The sequence below is a fragment of the Homo sapiens genome, chromosome 16 (assembly GCF_000001405.40).
Source record: "Homo sapiens chromosome 16, GRCh38.p14 Primary Assembly".
Classification (NCBI taxonomy): Eukaryota; Metazoa; Chordata; class Mammalia; order Primates; family Hominidae; genus Homo; species Homo sapiens.
The window spans coordinates 46,870,910-46,895,569 of record NC_000016.10 but is presented as its reverse complement, the minus strand read 5'-3'; the positions used below and the strand labels follow the sequence as shown (position 1 = coordinate 46,895,569).

General features: G+C 48.8%; 1 protein-coding gene and 1 non-coding gene across 9 annotated transcripts in view, besides 4 other annotated features; one reads left to right on the top strand and one right to left on the bottom strand.

Annotated features, from left to right (window-relative positions):
* GPT2 (glutamic--pyruvic transaminase 2) overlaps window positions 1-11,208 on the bottom strand; it is a 46,928-nt gene extending 35,720 nt beyond the window's left edge. For 2 of the 8 annotated variants that reach the window (XM_047434812.1, NM_133443.4), the window contains exons 1-2: window positions 11,103-11,208; window positions 10,612-10,876 (exon numbers count right to left, since the gene is read on the bottom strand). In XM_047434812.1, coding sequence (XP_047290768.1) covers window positions 10,612-10,854 — 243 coding nt within the window. In that variant the 5' untranslated portion in view covers window positions 10,855-10,876; window positions 11,103-11,208. Of the gene's footprint in view, window positions 1-9,957; window positions 10,104-10,238; window positions 10,892-11,102 lie in introns of those variants that run through there. The other 6 variants (NM_001142466.3, XM_047434815.1, XM_047434813.1 and 3 more) reach the window with 6 other exon arrangements.
* SNORD148 (small nucleolar RNA, C/D box 148) lies at window positions 9,096-9,149 on the top strand. Its single transcript, NR_145840.1, has one exon. It is a non-coding gene; the product is annotated as a small nucleolar RNA, C/D box 148 (small nucleolar RNA).
* Window positions 10,970-11,539: a silencer, noted in NCBI's record as "silent region_7436". NCBI's record gives its function as "represses an Ori minimal core promoter by ATAC-STARR-seq in GM12878 lymphoblastoid cells {active_cell/tissue: GM12878}" and the evidence as "EXISTENCE:reporter gene assay evidence [ECO:0000049][PMID:35858748]".
* Window positions 10,970-11,811: a biological region, named in NCBI's record as "H3K27ac hESC enhancer GRCh37_chr16:46917671-46918263".
* Window positions 11,219-11,811: an enhancer, noted in NCBI's record as "H3K27ac hESC enhancer chr16:46917671-46918263 (GRCh37/hg19 assembly coordinates)". NCBI's record gives its function as "activates a minimal SCP1, AML or CMV promoter by ChIP-STARR-seq in primed H9 embryonic stem cells {active_cell/tissue: H9 hESC(primed)}" and the evidence as "EXISTENCE:reporter gene assay evidence [ECO:0000049][PMID:30033119]".
* Window positions 11,590-11,659: an enhancer, noted in NCBI's record as "active region_10780". NCBI's record gives its function as "activates an Ori minimal core promoter by ATAC-STARR-seq in GM12878 lymphoblastoid cells {active_cell/tissue: GM12878}" and the evidence as "EXISTENCE:reporter gene assay evidence [ECO:0000049][PMID:35858748]".

The following is a 24,660-nucleotide window of genomic DNA, read 5'->3' as shown; positions in this document are numbered from 1 at the left end:
GCCTGGGCATCAGAGTGAGACCCTTTTTTTTGTTGTTTTTTTTTTGAGACAGGGTTTCCCTCTGTCACCCAGACTGGAGTGCAATGGTGTGATCTCGGTTCACTGCAACCTCCACCTCCCGGGTTCAAGCATTTCTCATGCCTCAGCCTCCCAAGTGGCTGGGACTACAGATAAGCATCACCACACCCGGCTAATTTTTGTATTTTTAATGGAGATGGGATTTCATCATGTTTCCCAAGCTGGTCTTGAACTCCTGAGCACAAATGATTGGCCCACCTCAGCCTCCCAAAGTGCTGTGATTACAAGTGTGAGCCACCTCGCCTGGCCTGACCCTGTCTCCTAAAAACAACAACAACAAACCAGCAGGCTTGAGAGACAAAAGCAGCAGCTAAACATGTTTTTCTGGCCCTAGTGTGCCACCCCTAAGCCCTAAGCAAGGAGGCATGGGGGACTGAAGATGCCCCGGAAGTGGCTCTGGACCATCATAAACAGGGCGTAAGTCCTACAAGCTATGTTTCTCGGGGAAGGGGGTCCTCTAAGCCCCTTGTGGCCCATCTGCTGAGTTCTTCAGTGTCTGGCCAACATGGATAAGGATTCTCAGTGGCGGCCAGGTGCGGTGGCTCACGCCTGTAATCCCAGCACTTTGGGAGGCTGAGGCGAGCGGATCACGAGGTCAGCAGATCGAGACCATCCTGGCTAACACAGTGAAACCCCGTCTCTACTAAAAATACAAAAACTTAGCCAGGCGTGGGGGCGGGCGCCTGTAGTCCCAGCTACTCGGGACGCTGAGGCAGGAGAATGGCATGAAGCTGGGAGGCGGAGCTTGCAGTGAGCCGAGATTTCGCCACTGCACTCCAGCCTGGGCGACAGAGCGAGACTCCGTCTCAAAAAAAAAAAAAAGATTCCCAGTGGCATCCAGACGCAGCCACTGTGTCTGGAGAGCCAGGGCAGCACTGCCCACTGCATGGGGGTACAGGCACTCTGGAGAGGCTCTGGCTGCAGGGGTGTGCAGCCCCCACACTCATCCCACAGCCAGGATCCCAAAAGGTTGAGGGTGTGGGCAGTTACCCAAGCCTCTGTGTGCAAAGGGACGGGCCCGATCCACTGCTTGGCACTGGCCTGGGCTCCTGGCATGGGGTCCTTGCTCAGCCTGACTGAATTGTTGCAGACCCCAGGTCTAGCTCGCTGAACCTGGGTGATTTCTGGGATGTGGATACAGCCCATTCTTCACAGGGAGTAAATCTGTCACAGTTGTGAGGCCCAGGAACCAACACACAGCTGTGGGCCCTGGGCCAGCCCAACACAGGGAGAGAATAACGCCTGGAACAGAGCCCTGAATGTTCCTTTCCCGTGCCCTCCCCCCGCACTGCTCGACCAATGCAGGGCCGCTGCCGCGAAGCCTGGGAACACAGCACCTCCATTCTTGGGTCTTGGTGCCTGCAGATCCTGGACACTTTGCTATGATGGATGAGCTGGGGGTCAGGACACTGGCTACCCTGAATGGGTGAAGAAACCAGCCCACCCAGCCAAGGGCCACCATGCAGAAGAAACTGTTCTGAGCACACTCCTGCATCCGGGAACTCAAGGTCTACATGGGATGGGAAATACCAAGAGCCCTGGGGTAGACTCCCAGAGTGACTGGTCCAGAGCCCACAGGCACAGCACCCATGGGAACCTCGCCCCTGCCCTGCCCTCAGGGCCCTGCCAGCTCAGAGGGACTAAGGAGCCGCAGCATCCTGATTCCTCTCACGGCATTCTAGAGCCACCTTCGAATCCACCTGCACATATCCCTCCCAGAGCCACCTCCCCTGTGCGGCACAGATGCACGGAAGGTCCTTCCCAGGGAGGGCTCCCCTCCCGCCGCTTTGGCTCAAGCAGGGATCAGGGGAGGGCACCAACCCCCCAGCTCTAGGGACGGCATATTTCATAGGGTGTTAGCAGGGAGAATAACTGTCCTCCCCAACCCACAGGCCTCGCACCAGCATGAGGGTCAGGGGCGGATGGATATTCTAACAAGGCACAGCAAAGGAAACAATCAACAAAAAGGCGGCCCACGGAAGGGAACACCGTCAGCCTCCGCATCCGTGGCTCCAGCATCTGCGGACTCAACCAACCGTGGATCAAAAATATTCAGGAAAGGGTCAGGCACGGTGATTCAAGCCTGTATTCCCAGCACTTTGGGAGGCTGAGGCGGGTAGATCACGAGGTCAGCAGATCGAGACCATCCTGGCTAACACGGTGAAACCCCGTCTCTACTAAAAATACAAAAAAATTTGCCAGGCGTGGTGGCACGCGCCTGTAGTCCCAGCTATTTGGGAGGCTGAGGTAGGAGAATGGTGTGAACCCGGGAGGCGGAGCCTGCAGTGAGCCGAGATTGCGCCACTGCACTCCAGCCTGGGTGACAGAGCAAGACTCCGACTCAAAAAACAAAAAACAAACAAACAAACAAAAAATTCAGGAAAAACCCTGCACCTGTACTAAACACAAACATACAGACTTTTCTTGTCATTGTTCCCTAAACAATAGAGTTGAACCATTATTTACACAATATGTACTACGTATTATATGTAATCTATAGAGGCTGTAAAGATGATTTAATTATACGGGAGGATGTGCATAGGTCATATGCAAATACTACGCCATTTATATGAGCATCCTTGGATTTAGGTATCCGAGGGAAGGCCTCCTTGGATACTGAGAGACAACTGTATTTGTAAACAAAATATCTGATAATGGGATCCTTATATCCAAATATCAAATATATGCAAATAAGGAATTCATACAACTCAAGAAAAAAAACTGATTAAACCTGATGTAAAAATGAACAAAGGATGTGAAGAGTCTTTCCACAAAAGACACACAAATCGTCAACAGATACATGAAAAAGATGCAAAACATCTAATCAAACACAATTCAAAGCCACAATGAGATATCATCTCATACTTGTTAGCATGGTTATTATAAAAAGTTCAAAGATCAGTGTTGGTGAGGGTGTGGGGAAAGGGAACCCTGCACGCCACTGGTGGGAATGTAAATTGGTATAGCCATTATGGAAAACAGTATGGAGGTTCCTCGAAAAATTAAAAATAGAACTACCCTAGGATCCAGCAGTCCCACTGCTGGGTAGAGATCTGAAGGAAATGAAATCATTGTCTTGAAGAGATGTCCGCACTCCCTTGTTCACTGCAGCACTATTCCTAAGAGCCAAGATATGGAACCAACCTAAGTGTCCATCAGTAGATGAATGGATAAAGATATGGTACATATACACAATGGACTATTATTCAGCCATTTAAAAAATAAGAAAATCCAGCCATTTGCAAAATTATGGATGAACCTGGAGGACACTATGTGAAGTGAAAAAAGCCAGACACAGAAAGACAAACACTGTATGATCTCACTCATATGTGGAATCTAAAAAAGTTAAACTAGTCTAAAAAAGTTGAACTAATAAAAGCAGAGGTGATAGCTGCCAGCAGTGGGGTTGGGGGAGTGCATATGTGGCAATGTTGGTCAAAGGGTACAAACTTTCAGTTGTAAGATGACACATTTTGCAAGTTGTAACTTATTTGTGGGAGCTAAAAAATTTTAAAAACTGAACTCGTGAAGATGGAGCATAGAAGGATGGTTCCCAGAGTCTGGGAAGGGCAGTAGGGGTGGGTGGGGAGAAGTGGGGATGGTTAATGGGTACCAAAAAGTAGAAGGAATTATCTAGTATTTGACACCACAACAGGGTGACTATAGTCAATAATAATTGTACATTGAAAAAAAAAAAGCTAAAAGAGTATATATAATTGGATTGTTTGTAAGACAAGGACAAATGCTGGAGGGGATGGATACCTCATTTACCCTGATGTGATTATTACACACTACATGCCTGTACCAAAATATCTCATGTACCTCATAAATAATACATCTACTGCCCGGGCGCGGTGGCTCACACCTGTAATCCCAGCACTTTGGGAGGCCGAGACAGGCGGATCACAAGGTCAGGAAATATTAGCTAGGCATGGTGGTGTGTGCCTGTCATCCCAGCTACTCGGGAGGCTGAGGCAGGGTAATCCCTTGAAGTCAGGAGGTGGAGATTGCAGTGAGCTGAGATTGCGCCACTACACTCAAGCCTGGGCAACAAGAGCGAAACTCCATCTCAAAAAAAAAAATTAGCCTGGTGTGGTGGCAGGTGCCTGTAATCCCAGCTACTCAGGAAGCTGAGGCAAGAGAATCACCTGAACCCGGGAGACGGAGGTTGCAGTGAGCTAAGATTGCACCATTGCACTCTAGCCTGGGCAACAGAGCGAGACTCCGTCTCAAAAAAATAGTAATTTAAAAAAATATGAATAAGTTATGGGGATCTAATGTACAGCATGGTGACTATAATTAATAATACTGTATTTTTCGGCCATGCACAGTGGCTCATGCCTGTAATCCCAGCACTTTAGGAGGCCATGGCGGGTGGATCACCTGAGGTTGGGAGGTCGAGACCCGCCTGACTAACATGGAGAAACCCCATCTCTACTAAAAATACAAAATTAGCTGGGTGTGGTGGCGCATGCCTGTAATCCCAGCTACGCGGGAGGCTGAGGCAGGAGAATTGCTTGAACCCGGGAAGCAGAGGTTGGGGTGAGCCGAGATCACACCATTGCACTCCAGCCTGGGCAACAAGAGCGAAACTCCATCTCAAAAACAAAACAAACAACAACAAAAAAAGCCAAAACAAAAAACCTGTATTTTTTACTTGAAATTTGCTGAGAACAGGACTTAAGTGTCTCAGGCGCACACTCACAGATGGTGACTATGTGTGGTAAAGGATGGAGTATTAATAATTGACTGTGATAATCATTTCCATATCATATTACATATAGAATGTATATAAATGTTAAACCACCACACTGTGTCCCTTGAATATATACAATTTTTCTTTGTCAATTATATTTGTCTCCCCCTCAATAAAAATGGGGAGAAAAAAACAGGCACAAGGCTGTTTCCTTATGCAAGGGATGGCTCTGGTCACTTCACATGGCCTGTGGGCAGAAAGGATGGCAGAGAACTTTCCTCCAATTCAACAAATACTGGTCACCCATGCCCCAGTGACAGCCATGAGTAGCACAGATGAGACCGCCACCCTCCTGAGCCCAGGCTGGTGAAGAATAAGAAGGGGGTGCAGGGAAGGAGAATGGCAGGGTGTGGGAGAGAGGACCCGCAGGTCCCAGGCCTAGGAGCACAATGTGAAAATGCTCCCGGGCTCCTGATCCCAAAAAGGGCACTGACTGGGGCTAGGGCGGGCAGAAAGCTCCAGCAAGAGGCCCCAAAGACAAACACCAACTAGACCCCACAGTCCCAGAAAACAGGTCCATTTCACAGCTGAGGCTCAGCACAAGATCTGGTCCCAAAACAGAAAGACAAGTGAAACCAGAAGAAACCGGAGCTGCAGCTACACACGTCTGTGACTGAGAGTGCAGGCAAGAGCCTCCAGGGCTGAGCTGCCAGATCACTGAGGCAGGGAAGACAGGGTGTAGGCCCCTGAACTCTGGGCATCCGTGGGGTGGTCAACTATAGAAGCCCAGATTCCAAGGCAGAAGCAGGGGTGAAAGCTGAATAAACTCCAAACAGGATAGTGCGAGTTGCTCAAGACAGCAAGGCAGAGGCCCAGGAGGAAAGAGCAAGCCCCACAGAACACTTCCCAGACCCAGAGCCTCAGGAAGTGGGAAAGACAAGCGACCTTCAGCACTTCTTATCCCCAGACCACTCTCATTAGCTTCAGAAGGAAGACTTGGCAGGTCTAATTAGCTTCACAGCTGTTCAAAGCATTATCATTAACATCTCAAACTAGTCTTTCAGAGAAATAAACTGGTCACATTTTGCAGAAGAGTAAACCAAGGCTGAATGACTTGTCTAAGGCCCATAGCACACAAAGGCAGAGCCCAGCGTATGTGTGGTGACTGACTTGGGCAGGCTGGGTAGGCGGAGGGTTCATCCTATTGGAAGCCTGCACTACAAGTTTTAAAGTAGCATCTAGGCCAAGCACAGTGGCTCACACAGGTAATCCTGGCGCTTTGGGAGGCTGAGGTGGGAGGATCACCCAAGGCTAGCAGTCTGAGACCAGCCTGGACAACATAAGCGAGATCCCATCTCTACAAAAAAGGAAATTAGCCAGCATGGTGGCACACACCTGTAGTCCTAGCTTCTGAAGAGGCTGAGGCAGGAGGATCACTTGAGCCCAGGAATTTGAGGCCACAGTGAGCTATAACTGCACCACTGCACTCCAGCCTAGGAGAAAGAACAAGGCTCTGTCTCTTTAAAAAAAAAAAAAAAAAAAAAAAAAATTAACAGCCTGGGCAACATGGCAAACCCTGTCTCTACAAAAAAATGCAAAAATTAGCCAGACGTGGTGGCATACGCCTTGTGGTCCCAGCTACTCAAGAGGCTGAAGTGTAAGGATCGCTTGAGCCCAGGAAGTTGAGGCTGCAGTGAGCTGAGATTGCGCCACTGCACTCCTGCCTGGGTGACAGAGCTATGGAATCCTTTCGCCAGGTGCTCTGCAAACAGTATGGGCTGTTTGGCTGAACAGCTATAATTAACAATTAGTATTATTATTTAATAATAATTACAAAGGAAAAAGTAGCTGGGTGTGGTGGCTCATACCTACCCACCCAGCACTTTGGGAGGCCAAGGTGGGAGGATTACTTGAAGCCAGAAGTTTGAGACCACCCTGGGCAACATAAGAAGACCTAGTCTCTATAAAAAATTTAAAAATTAGCCGGGCATGGTGGTGCACACCTGTAGTCCAAGCTGCTCAGGAGACTGAGGTAGGAGGATGGCTTGAGCCCAGGAGTTCAAGGCTGCAGTGAGTCATGATTGTGCCACTGCATTCCAGCCTAGGCAATAGAGCGAGACCCTGTCTTTAAAAAAATAAAGTAGCATCTGGCCGGGTGCGGTGGCTCACGCTTGTAATCCCAGCACTTTGGGAGGCTGAGGCAGACAGATCACAAAGTCAGGAGTTCAAGACCAGCCTGGCCAACACAGTGAAACCCAATCTCTACTAAAAATACAAAAAATTTAGCTGGGTGTGGCGGCGGGCACCTGTAATCCCAGCTACTCGGGAGGCTGAGGAAGGAGGATCACTTCAACCCGGGAGGCGGAGGTTGCAGTGAGATGAGATCGCATCACTGCACTCCAGCCTGGGTGACAGAATTAGACGCAGTCTCAATAAATAAATAAAGTAGCATCTAAATGCCACAGAAAACAATGACTGAGATTCAACACATGTGCTTGGCACACACAGGGTTTCCAATCTTAGTTCTTAGCTAACTATAGCCATGTGCCTTAGCACCCTCTGCTTTTACCTTTGTTTGGATGCAACACACACTGATGTAACCAGTAATTGTCAGTCTTCCCCTCAGTTCTGAATGTCTGCCCTGACTGTTGCCTTACAACCAGAAGCAAAGCCATTCCTGTCTCCACTTGTACCAATCCCCAACCCCCATCCCCCAATAAAGCAAGGGAAAAAGTAGGTTGAGGAAGAACTGTCAGATCTTTTCAAAACTCCTTTTAATTGCAGCTTATTTTTAAGTGCTGCTCGCAGTGAACACCAGGATCTGAAAAGCTAAGATAGGTTCTCCCCTTTGGAGCTGCTGTCAGGGAGAAGCAAGGCCCCTCTAAGAGCACAGAGCTGGGGCTGCAGGAGAATGGCCCCTTTCACAGCCCTTAGCCGACCTCCCCACCTCCTTCAGGCTCCACTACCAGAGAAGCAAAAAGGATAGGGACTCAGCTTGGCCAGCCACCCAAAGTCAAACACCAGAGCCACATGTCCAGCCAAACGGCCCACATTGTTTGCAGAACACCTGGTGAAAGAATTCCATAGACAGCATGAAGGCCTTGGTACCACCAAGAGTCACGAGTCACCCTGAGTCCCCAAGGACAGTTTTGAATGGACAAGGAGGTATAAAACTGAGGGCAGGGGAAACCCTGGCCCAGCCAGGCCCAGCCAGGCCACATCTGTTTATACTCTAGGGAACCTGAGGCCCAGGATTCACCCCAAGTCACCCTACTCCCTACAAATCCTAGCCCATCCCATCTCTAACCAATCAGTTTTTGTTTGTTTTTTGAGATGGAGTCTCGCTCTGAGCTCTGTTGCCGAGGCTGGAGTGCATCTCGGCTCACTGCCACCTCCACCTTCCGGGTTCAAGCGATTCTCCTGCCTTAGCCTGCCGAGTAGCTGGAGTTACAAGCGTGTACCACCATGCCCGGCTAATTTTTGTGCTTTTAGTAGAGACAGGGTTTCCCCATGTTGGCCAGGCTGGTCTCGAACTCCTGCCTCAGGTGATCCACCCACTTTGGCTTCCCAAAGTGCTGAGATTACAGGCGTGAGCCACCGTGGCCGGCCTCTAACCAACCAGTTTTGATCACGACAGTTCAAAACAGAAGCAGAAAAACCAAAGCTGCACAAGGAGAAGGCAAGCCAGAAATAAAAAGAAAGGACTGGGGAAATGTGGCTCTCGCAAGAAGGGCACTGTTTAAGCTGGCAAGGGGAAGCAAGGCTGTCTCCCAAGAAGGAAGGGTTTCAATGAGGCTATCTAAGCTGGTCTGGCCAGCACCCACAGCCGGGGAACTGAGACTCACAGTGAGAAGAGAATGAGAAGGGATGCGCTTGAATGAAACTACCACAGAATGTAGGTGGCCAAAAAAACTCAACTAACTCAGGAGTAGGATATGGGGGTGTGGAGCTTCTGTCTCAGAAATCAGAGATGTCCCTGGCCCAGTGACCAAGAAATTTGCCCACCTGCAATCATCAATACACACCCCTGCTGGAAACCCTTCCTGGTTCCCAACTCCAGCCAAAACGCACCATGACATCCTAATCCCAGCACACAAGACTCCAGTCCACCTTTTCTGTCTCATTCACCTCCCACATCCCTCTGTTAGTGTTCCACTACAGCACCAGCCCCCTTCCCCAAATGCCCAGAACTCCCCAACTTCCTGCGGTTGCTCACAGCACTGCTCCCACTTGGAAGGCTCTCACGTATTCTGCCTGCTAAAAAATCCCAACACATTCTTAAAGAATCCGGGGAAGGGGACTCAGGCTCAGAGAACAACGTGGCAGTCAGATTCCTCAAGGCAAAGACAGTGCCCTTCTGTCCTCATCATCCTCAAGCCTCATGGAGCCAGCACAGGAGTTGCTATTTAGCAAAAGGCAGAGGTAATTCCTGGAACCCCTGCCAGCTCAGGAACCAGAGAAATCAGCTGTAACGTGATAAACCAGGAACGCGTTAATCCCAGCTGTGTTTTAGCAGGGAGGCTGTTGCGTCAAGGAGGGCCAGCTCCAGCCTGCCAGACATCAACAGCCTGTGTTCTCTGCCCGGCCCACCTCTGGGCCAGGGAGGCACAGAAACAAAGCCAGCCTCCTCCCGGCCAGCTTTAAACTTAGCCCTGCAAGGAGTCCGCAGGAGACTGGACTCTGACTTGTCCAGCTCACTGTTTTGAGTCAGCAGAACTGAGTGTCTCAACAAGGTCTCAGGAGGCCCAGGAGCTCATTAAAACCCCCAAGTCCCCACTGGAATGGGACCAAGTGTCATGATCCCCCTGAAGCTTACTGCCATGCATTCATGGGACACTAGTGACCCGGGTGAGGGCAAGATCAAGGAACCCTCCTTCCCACTTCTATTCTCAGTCAGACTCTCTCTAGCAAGCAGCTAGGTGATTATTAGCTTCTTACAAATCTTAGGAGTATTTACTTTTTAAGATAACCCCTCCTGGCTCTGCCTCCTGAATTCCACCCAGGCTATAACTCTCTCCTAGGTCCTAGGGACCCCTCTATCACCCACCCCAGACATCCTGGTTGTGGGGAGGCAGAAATCCTTCCTGGCTGTGGGCTCACCTTACATGAAGCTATAAACTCAAGCCAAGATCCTAGCCAGCCGGCCGACCACCAAGATGAAGAAAGTCCCAGGGCCCCCTTACCAAAGCCCGACAGGCCCAACTCTCTGGTTCCCCACCTCGGTGACTGTCCCCAGACCACAGAAGTGGCTGGTCGGCCAAGGCTCCAGAGGGGCCTAAAGGAAGGAATTCTGCCGACTCTCTTCCGGGAATCAGGATTGGCAAAGACCCTAAAGGCCAAAGACACGGAGAAAGAGACTGGGGAACAGAACCAACTTTCCGCAGAGCCCCCCCCACCCCGTCTCCCCTCCTACCTAAAATGGTTTCCCTCCCACCGCCCCCATCCCAACCCTCTTCCGTTTTACTTTTTTCCAAGAACTTATCACTGAGACTCTATTGCTTCTTTCTTCATTCGCTTATGTTCCTCTCTCCACTGGACCTTGGTTCCACGAGAGTAGGGCAGACACACAACGTGCGGTGCCTGGCAGCACGGCCCGCTCAACAATTGACGAATTCAATTCAACAAGTGAACCGTATTGCAAGGCCTCACTGAGTGCCCGGTGCTGGGCACCAGTAAGTGAACGGGCGGGAGGGGGCATTCTCTCGTTTTAGCCAGGCTTGGCTGACTGAGGAGCTGGCCATGGGGGTGGACGTCGTGGGAAGGACCCCAGCTGGGGCTGCTGCGGTTTTTCCCTTGCTCAGCGGCCCCAGCCTCCCCGGGGCCCAGCGCGCGCTCACCCGCTGCAGCTCGAGCTCGATCTCGCCGGCCTTGAGCACGATGGGTCCCCGCACGGCGTACTCCACCGCCTTCACCTGCGGGTTCATGGACTCCAGCGTGAGGATGCGCTCGCGCCGGCTGCGCTCGGGCCGCACCTTGAGCACCGCCGAGGCCTCGGCGGCCGCGCTGCTCTGGCTGCGGCCCCAGGAGCTGGGGGTCCGGGGACCACAGCCCCGCCGGACCAGCGCCGCCGCCCGCTGCATCGCGCGCTTGCGGAGAGAAACCCTGGCACAAAAAGAGAAAAAGAACAAACACGTCGCGCACTGCCCAGGCGTGCAGCACTCCCCCACACAAGCCCAGCCAAGGGCTCTTTCAGCGAGCGGTGCCAGCCTGGCTTCGGCGCTGGTGCCCATCCCCCGGCGACCCGGACCCTCCACGGCGCCGCTGAAGCACCAACGCACACCCAACCGGCTTTCGCAAAGGCTGCGCCCAAGGCATGCATGCAACGTGCCTGTCGCCCCTGGTAGGCCCTCGCCGCACTCGGTTAGCTCGCGCGCCTGGAGCAGCTACCCGGCCCCGGCGCCCACAGCCGCATCCCCGCGCCCGGCGCCCGCGCCGCCCGGCCCCTGCGCTCGCACACCCACCACCGTCGGGGCCGCCCCGGGCCTGTGCGCTGCCTCCTGGGCCCTGTAGTTCCCCTGGCTGCTCCGGAGCGGCTGCGGAGAGTGACGCGAACTACAAGTCCCACAGCGCCCCGCGCCGGGCCGGACCGGGACCGGACAGTAGGCGGGAGCGTTCGTCCGAACGTGGCCGGGGCTGGGCGGGCTCTTTGTCCCAGTTGAGGGGCTGGAGAGCCTGGAGGGGCGGGGCAGGGGCCGTGCTCTCTGTCGCGTCTGCGAAGCTAGAGCTGTTGGCAGCCTGTCCCCAGTGGCGCGTCCGCCCCCCTACCGCCCTCACTGCCCGCACCTGCGAGGACGCAGGCTGCTGGATGGTGCAGTCATCGCCCCGAGTTTCATCATCCAAGGCCACACGGTGCCTGCGGCTGCCCACCAGAGCTGGCAGGAAGGCGGGTGAGGAGTCTGGGACTTGGCCACGCCGCCCTGACTACCGAACGCCAGCTTCCTTCTCAGCAAAACGGGGATCTGCCCACGGCCTCTGAGGGTTGTTGTGAGACTTCAAGGACCATCTGCCAAGTGGTCAGGTTTTCCCGACCACTCCATCTGACCTCAGACCTCCATCACTTCCGTTTTATTTTCTGCCTACCATCTGAAATTATCTTCGGTTACTTTTTACTGGCTTATGGTTTACCTCCCCCGACTAACCGTGCGAGCTCCAGAGGGGCAGAGGCAGTGTCTTTCTTGTTCATGGCATTCGCAGCACCTCTAACAGTTCCCGCCACAGAGGAGCCACTCAGTAAATATTTGTTGAAGAATGAATGCCCAGCACAAGGGGGCTATTATGTTTGGTAACGGTGTCTGCTGGCGAAAGGCTCCCTGGCTTGCCCAGAGCAAGAGCAGGGCAAGACTAGGAGGTGGCGTAGGGTGGCGCAAAGGGAGTTCTGGAAGACTCGGGGTCTAATGGAGACACCAAAATCTACAAAATCAAAAATACAAATACAGAATCTACAAAATCCCGTCTAGGTCCCAGATTCTCCATGTGCAAAATGAGTTAAATACCCTCTAAGGTCCTTCCCCTTGGAAATTCTGTGAGTCTGGGTGTTTTCAACCAGAAAAACAGCCCAGAGCTCCCACATCCCAACACACACACACTCACATTAGGTTTATGAAAGTTGGGGCAGCAGTGTAGGGGAGAAGGTAGACCTGAGTCGGAATATCCACAGTTGCATACAGCCGTGCACTGCTTAACTGAGTTTGTACTACCTCGTCTTCGTAAAGCCTAGTTTCCCCATGCGTAAAGTCAGGGTAACACCTACCTCATACTGTGATTAAATACATTGGTTGCCAATAAAAGAGGAAAGTAGGTGGGGAGAACAACAGAAACCGAAGATATCTTTGAGTATTCCTATGTCTGCAAACTGGCTTGGTCCACCAAAGGCGCTGGAAAGTTATTTGGGCTCTCATGTACTGGTTCCACCCCCGCACCTTTGTCTACACTAGGTCTTGATGGCCAGGTATTCAGTCTCTAGGTAAAAGTCTTCCCCAGTGAGCTTAGCTCCTCCTTCAGTGTCGTCGTTATCAACTGCCCAGTTGAGACACAAACATAACCCTCCACCTCCAAAACACGCTTGACCTTGACTTGCATGTAATGTCCATGCAGTCCCTTGCTGTCCACCCACGTGTCAGTGTACTATGCTCTTCTGTTATCTCTGTCTCTGATCAGTAGGGACAGGGGAGGAGGGGCTTAGAGAGGTGATCACAAATCTATTTCCACAACTGAGAACAACAAGCACACAGCCTTCTTATGTGTGCTCCCACGTCATCACTGTGAAAAACAAGTCGAGTGCCTAATATGCCCTCTGCCAACCCGTCTCTCTGAGATTGCATGAGGAAAAAAGCTTCATTGATTTCTTGTGAACCACTGTACAATTTGCAAAGCACTTTCTTACCCAAAAGCACAGGCAGTATTATTCCCACTTTATAGATGAGGCTCAGAGAGGTTAGGTGACTTGTTCAGGTGGTACAGCTAAAAGGAGAGCAGGAATTGTGATTTCTAACCCAGTGCTACAGCCCACGCATGCAGGGACCATTCATGTGTAGCTCGCTGGGTTTGGAAATTCAAGCTTGCTGTTACAATGCACAGAGCCTTTGAAAAATTTCTGGGTGGTGGTTGTGATGACGATGGTGGCAATAGCATGAACTTTGCTTTTATTTTTTATTTTTGTACACAGCTAACCCAGTCCAAAAGCTTGCGTGTGTGTGTGTTCATTTTGTTTTGTTGTTCTCATCTGATTTTTTTATTTTATTTTTATTTTTATTTTTTGAGACAGAGTCTTGTTTCTGTCACCAAGGCTGGAATGCAGTGGCATGATCTCATCTCATTGCAACCTCTGCCTCCTGGGTTCAAGCGATTCTTCTGCCTCAGCCTCCTGAGTAGCTGAGACTACAGGCATGCATCACCATGCCTAGCTAATTTTTTTTGAGGGTAGAGGGGGGTGTATTTTTAGTAGAGAGAAGGTGTCCCGATATTGGCCAGGCTGGTCTCAAACTCCTGACCTCAAGTGATCCACACACCTTAGCCTCCCAAAATGCTGGGATTACAGGGGTGAGTCACCTCACCCGGACTAGTGATTTGCTTTTATTTTGCCCTCTAGACCAGGTGGGGATGGATAGGATCTGGCTCCTAAATATTAAAGCTAAAACCTGATTGAAATGATCATTAAAGCCCTCCCTATAAGCTAAATGAGAGCTTCAAATACACAGCAACCTCCTATCAACCCACATAGCTGGAGAGTCATATGTTTGCAAGACATAATACCCGTCTTTATTCCATAATTTAACAAATTCTTCTTGGGCACTTACCCTGTGCCAGGCATGAGGCTGAGTTCTGGGACTACAAAGAGTCAAGCTGACTGTTCCTACCTGTGTAGAACATACAGTTTCTTAGGGAAGGCGGAGGTCATCACACGTGATTACAAACTGTGATAACTCCTCGGGATAAAAAGGATGGAGTTTTCTGAGAGTTCAGAGGTCTGCACAAAGATTTCCCAAATGAGGTGTCCCATGAGCTGCTCCCACCCCAGCCCTGGAAGGTTGATAAGAGACATTACTCCTGGCCAGTGTGGAGATGCGCCTAGCCTGGGATTGCTGTGGCACCCTAAGTGAAGAGGCAGGTACTCAGCATATAAGAATCCAGCCGTTTCCATAGCTCCAGGGCTTCCCCAGCAGGTTACCTGAGGCTTTGTCAGGCCTATTTTTCATTCCCTGCCCATTCCTACTTTCTCCCACTTCCTCTTGCAAGAGTTGATCCCTAATACCCATCTTGCTCCTTACACCCCATCTCAGTGTCAGTGGTGAGATGGACAGCTTCCCGGTCTGGGACCACTGAAGACCCTGAGGAACTCTAAGAAGGCCATAGTGACTGCAGGGCAAACAATTAAGCAAAATGGGAATCAGTGAGGTGAGCTGTGTCAAGACAGGCAGGCCAGGTCCTGAATGTAAGAATTTTGGTCTTCATCCTAAGAAAAAATGGAAGCCTCTGGAAGGCTTAAAGCAGGGGAGTGACATGATCAGATTTCTATTTTAAATTCTGTTGCATGGAGGATGGATTGGAGGTGTGCAAGGGAGGTTGCAGGAGGATTAATTGTGGCTCCAACAAGGTCCAACGTTGGCCTGGACCAGGGTGTGGGGGATGGGAAGTGGCTAGGTTCTTCTGTATCCCCAACACCCAGCATATTACCTGACACACAGGTCTTCAGTAAAATGTTGAATGGATGTTGAAGTAGATTCTGTACGGTCCATGCTCTCCAGATATCTGCAGTCCAGCAGGAGCTGAGTGGCGTAGGTAAGTATGCTAAGGGCAGCCCCCAAGAATGCAGGCTACCCCATCCTTGGAGGCAGTGAGGGCTGTTCATAAATAACCACAGAGCAGAACAGAAAGTGAGAGAATCTTTGGAGAAGATCAGGTGGGCACTGTGGGGCTGCAAGGAGGGACAGCTAATCTCCCAGAATGCCAGATCATGCCTGGTCTGGAGGCTTGGGGAACTCTTTCAAAGGTAACTCTTAGTCTCTTGCTCTCGAGGGAGCCTGATGGAAGTTAGTGCTCTCAGCCAGTTGTGGTGGCTCACACCTGTAATCCCAGTGCTTTGGGATGCCCAGGCAGGAGGATCACTGAAGCCTGGAGTTGGAGATCAGCCTGGGCAACATAACGAGACCCATCTCTACAAATTAAAAAATTAGCTGGGCGTGGTGGTGTGCACCTATAGTTCTAGCTATACAGGAGGCTGAGGCAGGGGAATCGCTTCTACCCAGAAGTTCTAGGCTGCAGTGGGCATGATTGTGCCACTGCACTTTAGCCTGAGTAACAGAGCAAGAACTTGTCTCCAAAAAAAAAAAAAAAATTAGTGTGTAATTAATCAAATGCCTTGGCTTATGGTCCAGGGTAGTGATTCTAAAGTGTCCAAGGATCACCTGAGTATTTGCTTAAAATGTGGATTCCAGAGTCTTGCCCCAGACTTGCTGATTCTGAAATTCCAGGGGTGGGTTGGCCCAGGAATTTTCCTGTAATTAGGATTCTGATATGCACTAAAGTTTGAGAAATCCAGGTGCAGGACCAGGTGCAGGGTGTGTTTCTTTGGGAAAAATCCAGATCAGGGAGGTCTGAATTCTGATTCCAAATTTGTTAATAATCTCCGGTATGACCTGGAGCCAGTTCTATCCTCACCTTGTAGCCTTTGCTTCTTCTGCAGCACTGCCTACACTTCTGCCCGACTTCTAGTCACTTGCTCTTCTGAGGAAGCTTGAAGATGTTACAGCCTCCCCTTCCAACTCAACTGACTCCTCGAGTCACAGCCCCTGCCTGTATTCATTGAGCCTCTGTTTCCTCACCTGCCAGTGAGAGTGACCACAGTACCTGCCTCAAAGTGTTGCTGAGAAAATTAGAGATGATATTTTAACTTTTTATTTTTCTTATGGATGTTTGGGTAGATTAGGAAGTCTGAAAGCATCAACACTCTATTGTTGTGTGTGTGTGTTTGTGTGTGTGTTTTGAGATGGGGTCTCCCTCTATCATCCAGGCTAAAGTGCAGTGGCATGATCATCTTACTAGATCCTCAAACTCCTGGACTCAAGCCATTAACCCTCCTCAGCCTCCCAAGTAGCTGGGTCTACAGCTGCATGACACCATGCCTGACTGTTGTTAATGGTGGTTATCTTTGAGTGGTGGGATTATTGGTAACTAATTTTTCTTTTTGTTTAATGTACTTTCAACGTTTTAAGAAATTTTTAAAATAATAAATAAATTTTAAAAAAGAAACCTAGAATGGTCATATGATCTAGCAATTCCATTTCTGGGTATATCACGAAAGAATTGAAAGCTGAGACTTGAACAGATAATTATAAACTAATGCTCATTATGGCATTATGGCAACTGCTAAAAGGTGGAAACAACCCAAATGTCCATTGACAGATGAATGGGTGAACAAAATGTGGTATATATACACAAGAAATATTAGTCAGGCCTGATGTGGTGGCTCACACCTGTAATACCAGTACTTTGGGAGGCTGAGGCAGGCGGATCACGAGGTCAGAAGTTCAAGACCAGCCTGGCCAACATGGTGAAACCTCGTCTCTACTAAAAATACAAAAATTAGCCAGGCATGGTAGCGCATGCCTGTAATCCCAGCTACTCGGGAGGCTGAGGCAGGAGAATTGCTTGAACTCGGGAGGTGGAGGTTGCAGTGAGCCAAGATTGTGCCACTGCACTCCAGCCTGGGCGACAGAGCAAGACTCTGTCTCAAAAAAAAAAAAAAAAAAGAAATATTAATCAGCCTTAAAAAGGAAGGAAATTGTGACACATACCACAACACAGATGAAACTTAAAGACATTATGTAAAGTGAAATACACCAGATATAAAAGGATAAGTATGTATGATTCCACTTATTTGAGGTACCCAGAATAGGCAAATACATAGAGACAGAAATTTAAATATAGGTTACCAGCCAGGTGTGGTGACTCACACCTGTAATCCCAGCACTTAGGGAGGCCACAGCAGACAGATCCCTTGAGCCCAGGAGTTTGATATCAGCCTGGGCAAAATAGTAAGAACCTATCTCTACCAAAAATAAAGTAAATAAATAATAAATTAAAATAGAGGTTACCAAGGGCTGGGGGGAGGCGGAATGGGGAGTTACTGTTTCTTGTGTTTTTTTTTTGTTTTTTTGTTTTTTTTTTTGAGACAGAGTCTCGCTCTGTCGCCCAGGCTGGAGTGCAGTGGCACAATCTGGGCTCACTGCAACCTCCGCCTCCTGGGTTCAAGTGATTCTCCTCCGTCCGAAGTAAATGGGACTACAGGTGCATGCCACCATGCCTGGGTAATTTTTTGTATTTTTAGTGGAGACGGGGTTTCACCATGTTAGCCAGGATGGTCTCCATCTCCTGAACTTGTGATCCGCCTGCCTCAGCCTCCCAAAGTGCTGGTATCACAGGCATGAGCCACCGCACCCTGCTGGGAGTTACTGTTTAATGAGTACATAGTTTCAGTTTGCAACATGAAAACGTTCTGGAGATGAACAGTGGTTATGGTTGCATAATGTGGATGTATATAATGTCACTGAACTGTACACCCCCAAATAGTTAAAATAGAAAATTTTATGTACATCTTACCATATTATAATATGAATAAGGATTTCCTGTGTGATGGAAGATAATTTAAAAAGAGAAAGAGTGTAAATCTTAGAGTGTTTGTGGCCTTTTTCAGAGATGGCGACTGAGCAGTTTCTGGGGGTGTTAGAAGGTATTTGGGTATTTGCTTGGAATCTCCCTCCAACTCCTACATTTTAGTTAGCTTTAATCCTTGTCCTTCGTGTTTTTCTTTTTTTTGAGATGGAGTCTCGCTCTGTCGCCCAGGCTGGAGTGCAGTGGCCCAATCTTGGCTTACTGCAAGCTCCGCCTCCCCGGTTCACGCCATTCTCCTGCCTTAGCCTCCCAAGTAGCTGGGACTACAGGTGCCGCCAACACACCCAGCTAATTTTTTGTATTTTTAGTAGAGATGGGGTTTCATCGTGTTAGCCAGGATGGTCTTGATCTCCTGACCTCATGATCTGCCCGCCTCAGCCTCCCAAAGTGCTGGGATGACAGGCATGAGCCACCACGCCTGGCCCATGTTTTTCTTTCTAAATGAAGGCCTCATTTTTTTTTGTTTGTTTGTTTTTACATAGAGACAAGTTTTTGCCATGTTGCCCAGGCTGGTCTTGAACTCCTGGACTCAAGGGATCCGCCCGCCTTTGCCTCCCAAAGTGCTGGGATTACAGGTGTGAGCCACTGTGCCCGGCCTTCTTTTTTTTTTTTTTTAATTTAAGTCAGGCTCAAGTTTTTAGGGGATGGTCAGGGAAATTTCGTTGAGATCCTACTTGCTCTGAGTCTCCTTGAAGCAAATCATTGCCTCTAACAAGCAAATATTAGTTTAGGTGAGCTAATAGCCGGGACACATGTATCCCAATGCTCTCACCATGACGTTCAAAGTGGATTAAAGATAAACTTATGATACTAAGCTAAGCTATACACAAACAAGGGACACATTCTTATGTAACTTACAGAGGTTAAAACTGAGTAAAGACATTTTACAAAAGTGGTGTTTACAATTCAGTACTGCATTGATAACATTTCAAAGCACTGGCAGGCACGTTTCGGTCTTGGCAGTGCACTCAACCAAATCCAGGTGGTTTCGGAGAATGAGGAGAGGCTGGAAGAGCTGTAGCGAATGAACAATTGTATAAGCTTCATGAGCAAATAAAACCTTTCATTCAGAGGGTGTTTGTTGTTCCATATTCCTTGATTTCTTGCTTCCTGATCTTTAGGGATCTGAGGACTCTTATTTGCGCCATGGAAGACATATGGAAACAATTTCAGAAACACCCCAAGGGACTAATAGAATCCTTATCTGCAAACTCAAGTGATTTCAGCTGTTGAATGTGCTAAAACACAGACAAAATATTAAGCAATGGCTCAAATCAGTATTTCCAAAAGGTTTACTTATCTAGTTTTCCTAGATATTTTCATAAAGCCACAGAATTTTTCAACTAGAGAAGCTCACAAAATAGTTTTGGGACCTAGAAACAGGAGAAAAAAATAATCATACAATACCATAAGCCCTATGCTTTGTAGTTCTCATTTATTCTTTTTGTTTTTGTTATTTTTGAGACACAGTCTCACTGTGTCGCTCAGGTTGGAATGCGATGGTGCGATCTCGGCTCATTGCAACCTCTGCCTCCTGGAGTCAGGTGATTCTCCTGCCTCAGCCTCCTGAGTAGTTGGGATTACAGGTGCCCACCACCATGCCCAGCTAATTTTTGTGTTCTTTCAATAGAGACGGGGTTTCACCATGTTGGCCAGGCTGGTCTCGAACTCCTGACCTTAAGTGATCCACCCACCTCGGCCTCCCAAAGTGCTGGGATTATAGGCGTGAGCCACTGCGCCCGGCCTATACTTTTATTTTTTTGAATTCTAGTTTTTTTGGTATCTTTTCTTTTCTTTGCTTTCTTTTTTTCTTTTTCTTTTTGTTTTAGATGGAGTCTTGCTCTGTTGCCTAGGCTGGAGTGCAGTGGCATGATCTCGGCTCACTGCAACCTCCGCCTCCCGGGTCAAGCAATTCTCCTGCCTCAGCCTCTTGAGTAGCTGGGATTATAGGCACGCACCACCACATCCAGCTAATTTTTGTATTTTTAGTAGAGACAGGGTTTCACCATGTTGGCCAGGCTGGTCTTGAATTCCTGACCTCGTGATCCACCCGCCTCGGCTGCCCGAAGTGCTGGGATTACAGGCGTGAACCACTGCACCCGGCCTCTATTTTTTGTTTTTTTTTAGAGGTAGGGTCTTGCTCTGTTGCCCAGGCTGGAGCAGTGACATGATCCTGGCTCCCTGCAGCCTCGAACTCCTGGGCCCAAGCAATTCTCCTATCTCAGCCTCCTGAGTAGCTGGCACTATAGGAGTTTGCCACCATACCTGGCTGATTTTTTATGTTTAATTTTTAGAGACAGGGTCTTGCCATGTTGCCCAGGTTGGTTTCAAACTCCTAGGCTCAAGTGATACTCCCGCCTCAGTCTCCTAAAGTGTGAATTCTAGTTCTTATTCATTCTTCAGAAGAAACGGGCAGAACTATTTACCTAGAGTATTATCTATGATTTGGGTTTAGCACCAGGTAGGCCTGGCACAAAGCTTTCTTTTTTTTTTTTTTCCTTCAACTTTTATTTTAAGTTCTGGGGTACATGTGCAGGACGTGCAGGTTTGTTATATAGGTAAACATGTGCCATGGTTGTTTGCTGCACAGATCAACCCATCACCTAGGTGTTAAGCCCAGCATCCATTAGCTATTCCTCCTTATGCTCTCTTTCCATCCCACCCCCAGCTTTATTAATAATAATATTATATAACATTTATAGGTAATATTTATTAGACTTTTAAAATATATTTTCTTAATAGAAATGGGGTTTTGCCATGTTGCCCAGGCTGGTCTCAAACTCCTGAGCTTTAAGCCATCCTCCTGCCTTGGCCTCCCAAAGTGCTGGGATTACATACAGGCATTGAGCCACTGCACCTGGACTTTTGGACTTTTTTTTTTTTTTTTTTGAGACAGTCGTGCTCTGTTGCCCAGGCTGGAGTGCAATGGCATGATCTTGGTTCACTGCAGCCTCCACCTCCCCAGTTGAAGCGATTCTTTTGTTTGTTTGTTTGTGTTTGAGATGGAGTCTGGCTCTGTCGCCCAGGATGGAGTGCAGTGACGCAATCTGGGCTCACTGAAGGCTCCGCCTCCCGGGTTCACGCCATTCTCCTGCCTCAGCCTCCCGAGTAGCTAGGACTACAGGCGCCTGCCACGACGCCTGGCTAATTTTTTTGTATTTTTAGTAGAGATGGGGTTTCACCTTGTTTGCCAGGATGGTCTCCATCTCCTGACCTCGTGATCCGCCCGTCTCGGCCTCCCAAAGTGCTGGGATTACAGGCGTGAGCCACCGCGCCCGGCCTGAAGCGATTCTTGTGTCTCAGCCTCCCAAGTAGCTGGGATTACAGGTGCCCTGACACCATGCCTGGCTAATTTTGGTATTTTTAGCAGAGATGGAGTCTCGCCATGTTGGCCAGGCTGGTCTCAAACTCCTGACCTCAAGTGGTCCACCCTCCTCGGCCTCCCAAAGTGCTGGGATTATATACAGGCATTGAGCCACCACACCCAGCCTTATTGGATATTTTTAATGTGCTGGATACTGCCCCAAGTGCTTTAATGCATCATCTCATAGATGCCTTAGAAGAACCCTATGACATACCACCGTTATCGCCATTATACAGATAGGAAAACTGATGTTCAGAGAGGTTGGGCTACTTATCAAGATTACATAGCTAGACTGGGCACAGTGGCTCATGTCTGTAATCCCAGCACTTTGGGAGGCTTGAGCCCAGGAGTTCGAGACCAGCATGGGCAACATAGCAAGACCTCATCTCTACCAAAACATAAAAAAATTAGCCGACATGATGGCATACACTTGTGGTCCCAGCTTCTTAGGGGCCTGAGGTGGGAGGATACCCTTGAGCCTGGGAGGCCGAAGCTGCAGTGAGCTGTGATCATGCCACTGTACTTCAGCCTGGGCAACAGAGCAAAAAAAAAAAAAAAAAAAAAAAAAAATCACATAGCTAGGGTGGCAAAGCTAAGACTTGAACTTAGGACTCCATGGGTTCAGTGCTCAGTCTCACAAGACTGCCCCCACTTCAGACACCAGCCACAAGTGGGGTCCCCAGGGCACCCACACTTCTGCCCAGCTGGTTAAAAATTCGGGAGTTCCCATGACTTACCCCCTGTATTCAATAATTCACTAGAATTACTCACACAACTCAGGAAAGTGCTATAATCATTATTACAGTTTTGTTTTAAAGAATAAAACAAGAACAGCCAAAGAACAAGGCGTGGGAGGCTGGGAGGGGCACAGAGCTTCCATGCCCTCTCTTGAGCATGCCACCCTCCCACTACATTGATGTGTTCAGCATCCCCTAAGTATAGTTACAAACAGAAATTACAGTAATACTGGTTTTCATATTTGTCTATTTACCTTTGCTATGGAAATTTATATTTTCATGTGGCTTTGAGTTACTGTCTGGTGTCATCGCATTTCAACTTGAAGGATTCCCTTTAGCATTTCTTGTAGGGTGAGTCTAGTGATAACAAATTTCCTCAGCTTTTGTTTATTTAGAAATGTCTATTTTCTCCTTTGTGTTTCATTTTTAATATTATTATTTATTTATTTATTTATTTATTTTTGAGACAAAGTCTCACTCTGTCGCCCAGTGGTGCGATCTCGGCTCTCCCAAATTCAAGCGATTCTCCTGCTTCAGCCTCCCGATTAGCTGGGATTACAGGCATCTGCTACCACGCCTGGCTAATTTTTTGTATTTTCAGCAGAGACAGGGTTTCATCATGTTGTCCAGGCTGGTCTCGTCCTGACCTCAGGTGATCCGCCCACCTTGGCCTCCCAAAGTGCTGGGATTACAGGCGTGAGCCACTGTATCCGGCCAATTATTATTATTATTTTTTAGAGACGGTGTCTCACCATGTTGTCCAAGCTGGTCTTGAACTCCTGGGCTCAAGTAATCCACCTGCCTCAGTCTCCCAAAATGCTGGGATTACACGTGTGAGTTACTGTGCCCAGTCTCTTCTTTGTTTTTGAAGAACAGTTTTGCTGGGTGTAGAATTATCAGTGACAGGTTTTCTCTTTCAGCACCTTACATACAATTGTGTGCCATATAACAACGTTTCAATGACAGAGCATGTATACAATGGTGATCTCATAAGATTATAATACCATATTTTTACTTTGCAAAAGAGAAACACTCCGTCTCAAAAAAAAAAAACAACTTACTTTTCTTCCCAGTCTCAGGTATGTCTTTATCAGCAGCATGAAAATGGACTAATACAGTAAATTGGTACCAGTAGAGTGGGGCGTTGCTGAAAAGATACCCGAAAATGTGAAAGCAACTTCGGAACTGGGTAACAGGCAGAGGTTGGAACAGTTTGGAGGGCTCAGAAGAAGAAAGGAAAATGTGGGAAAGTTTGGAGCTTCCTAGAAACTTGTTGAATGGCTTTGACCAAAAGCCTGATAGCAATATGGACAATAAGGTCCAGGCTGAGGTGGTCTCAGATGGAGATGAGAAACTTGTTGGGAACTGGAGCAAAGGTGACTCTCGTTATGTTTTAGCAAAGAGACTGGCGGCATTTTGCCCCTGCCCTAGAGATTTGTGGAACTTTGAACTCCAAAGAGAGATGATTTAGGGTATCTGGCAGAAGAATTTTCTAAGCAGCAAAGCATTCAAGAAGTGAGATGGGTTCTGTTAAAGGCATTCAGTTTTATAGTGGAAGCAGAGCATTCAAGTTTGGAAAATTTGCAGTGACCATGTAATAGAAAAGAAAAACCCATTTTCCAAGGAGAAATTCAAGCCGGCTGCAGAAATTTGCATAAGTAAGTAGGAGCCAAACGTTAACCCCCAAGACAATGCGGAACATGTCTCCAGGGCATGTCAGAGGCCTTCATGGAAGCCCCTCCCATCACAGGCCCGGAGGGCTAGGAGAAAATGGTTTGGTGGGCCAGGCCCAGGGTCCCCGTGCTGTGTGCAGACTAGGGACTTGGTGCCCTGCGTCCCAGCGTGGCTGAAAGGGGCCAACATAGAGCCAGATTCCAGGACAGGAGAGGAGGATAGGCTTTTTTTTTTTTGAGACAGAGTTTCGCTCTTGTTGCCCAGGCTGGAGTGCAATGGTGTTTTCTCGGCTCATTGCAACCTCTACCTCCCTGGTCCAAGCAATTCTCCTGCCTCAGCCTCCTGAGTAACCGGGATTACAGGCATGAGCCACCACACCTGGCTAATTTTGTATTTTTAGTAGAGACGGGGTTTCTCCATGTTGGTCAGACTGGTCTTGATCTCCCGACCTTAGGTAATTGGCCTGCCTCACCCTCCCAAAGTGCTGGGGTTACAGGCATGAGCCACCACACCCAGCCAAGGATAGGCTTTTGAGGACTGTTTGTGATAGATGATACGGCAGTGATGCAAGCAAGCCCCAGACAGATGAGGCCAGGGGCTGCTGGCCACAGGCTCCTTCCCTACAAGTGCAAAGAAAAGTGCCAGCTCATAAGCTGGGGATGAGCTGGATGTGTTCATCTAGCTGCAAGGCTCTGGTTCCAGCTCCCAGCTTTTCTTTCTTTCCCTTCCTTCCTTCCTTCCTTCCTTCCTTCCTTCCTTCCTTCCTTCCTTCCTTCCTTCCTTCCTTTCTTTCTTTCTTTCTTTCTTTCTTTCTTTCTTTTTTGATGGAGTCTCCCTGTGTCACCCAGGCTGGAATGCAGTGGCATGATCTCGGCTCACTGCAAGCTCCGCCTCCCTGGTTCACGCCATTCTCCCACCTCAGCCTCCCGAGTAGCTGGGAC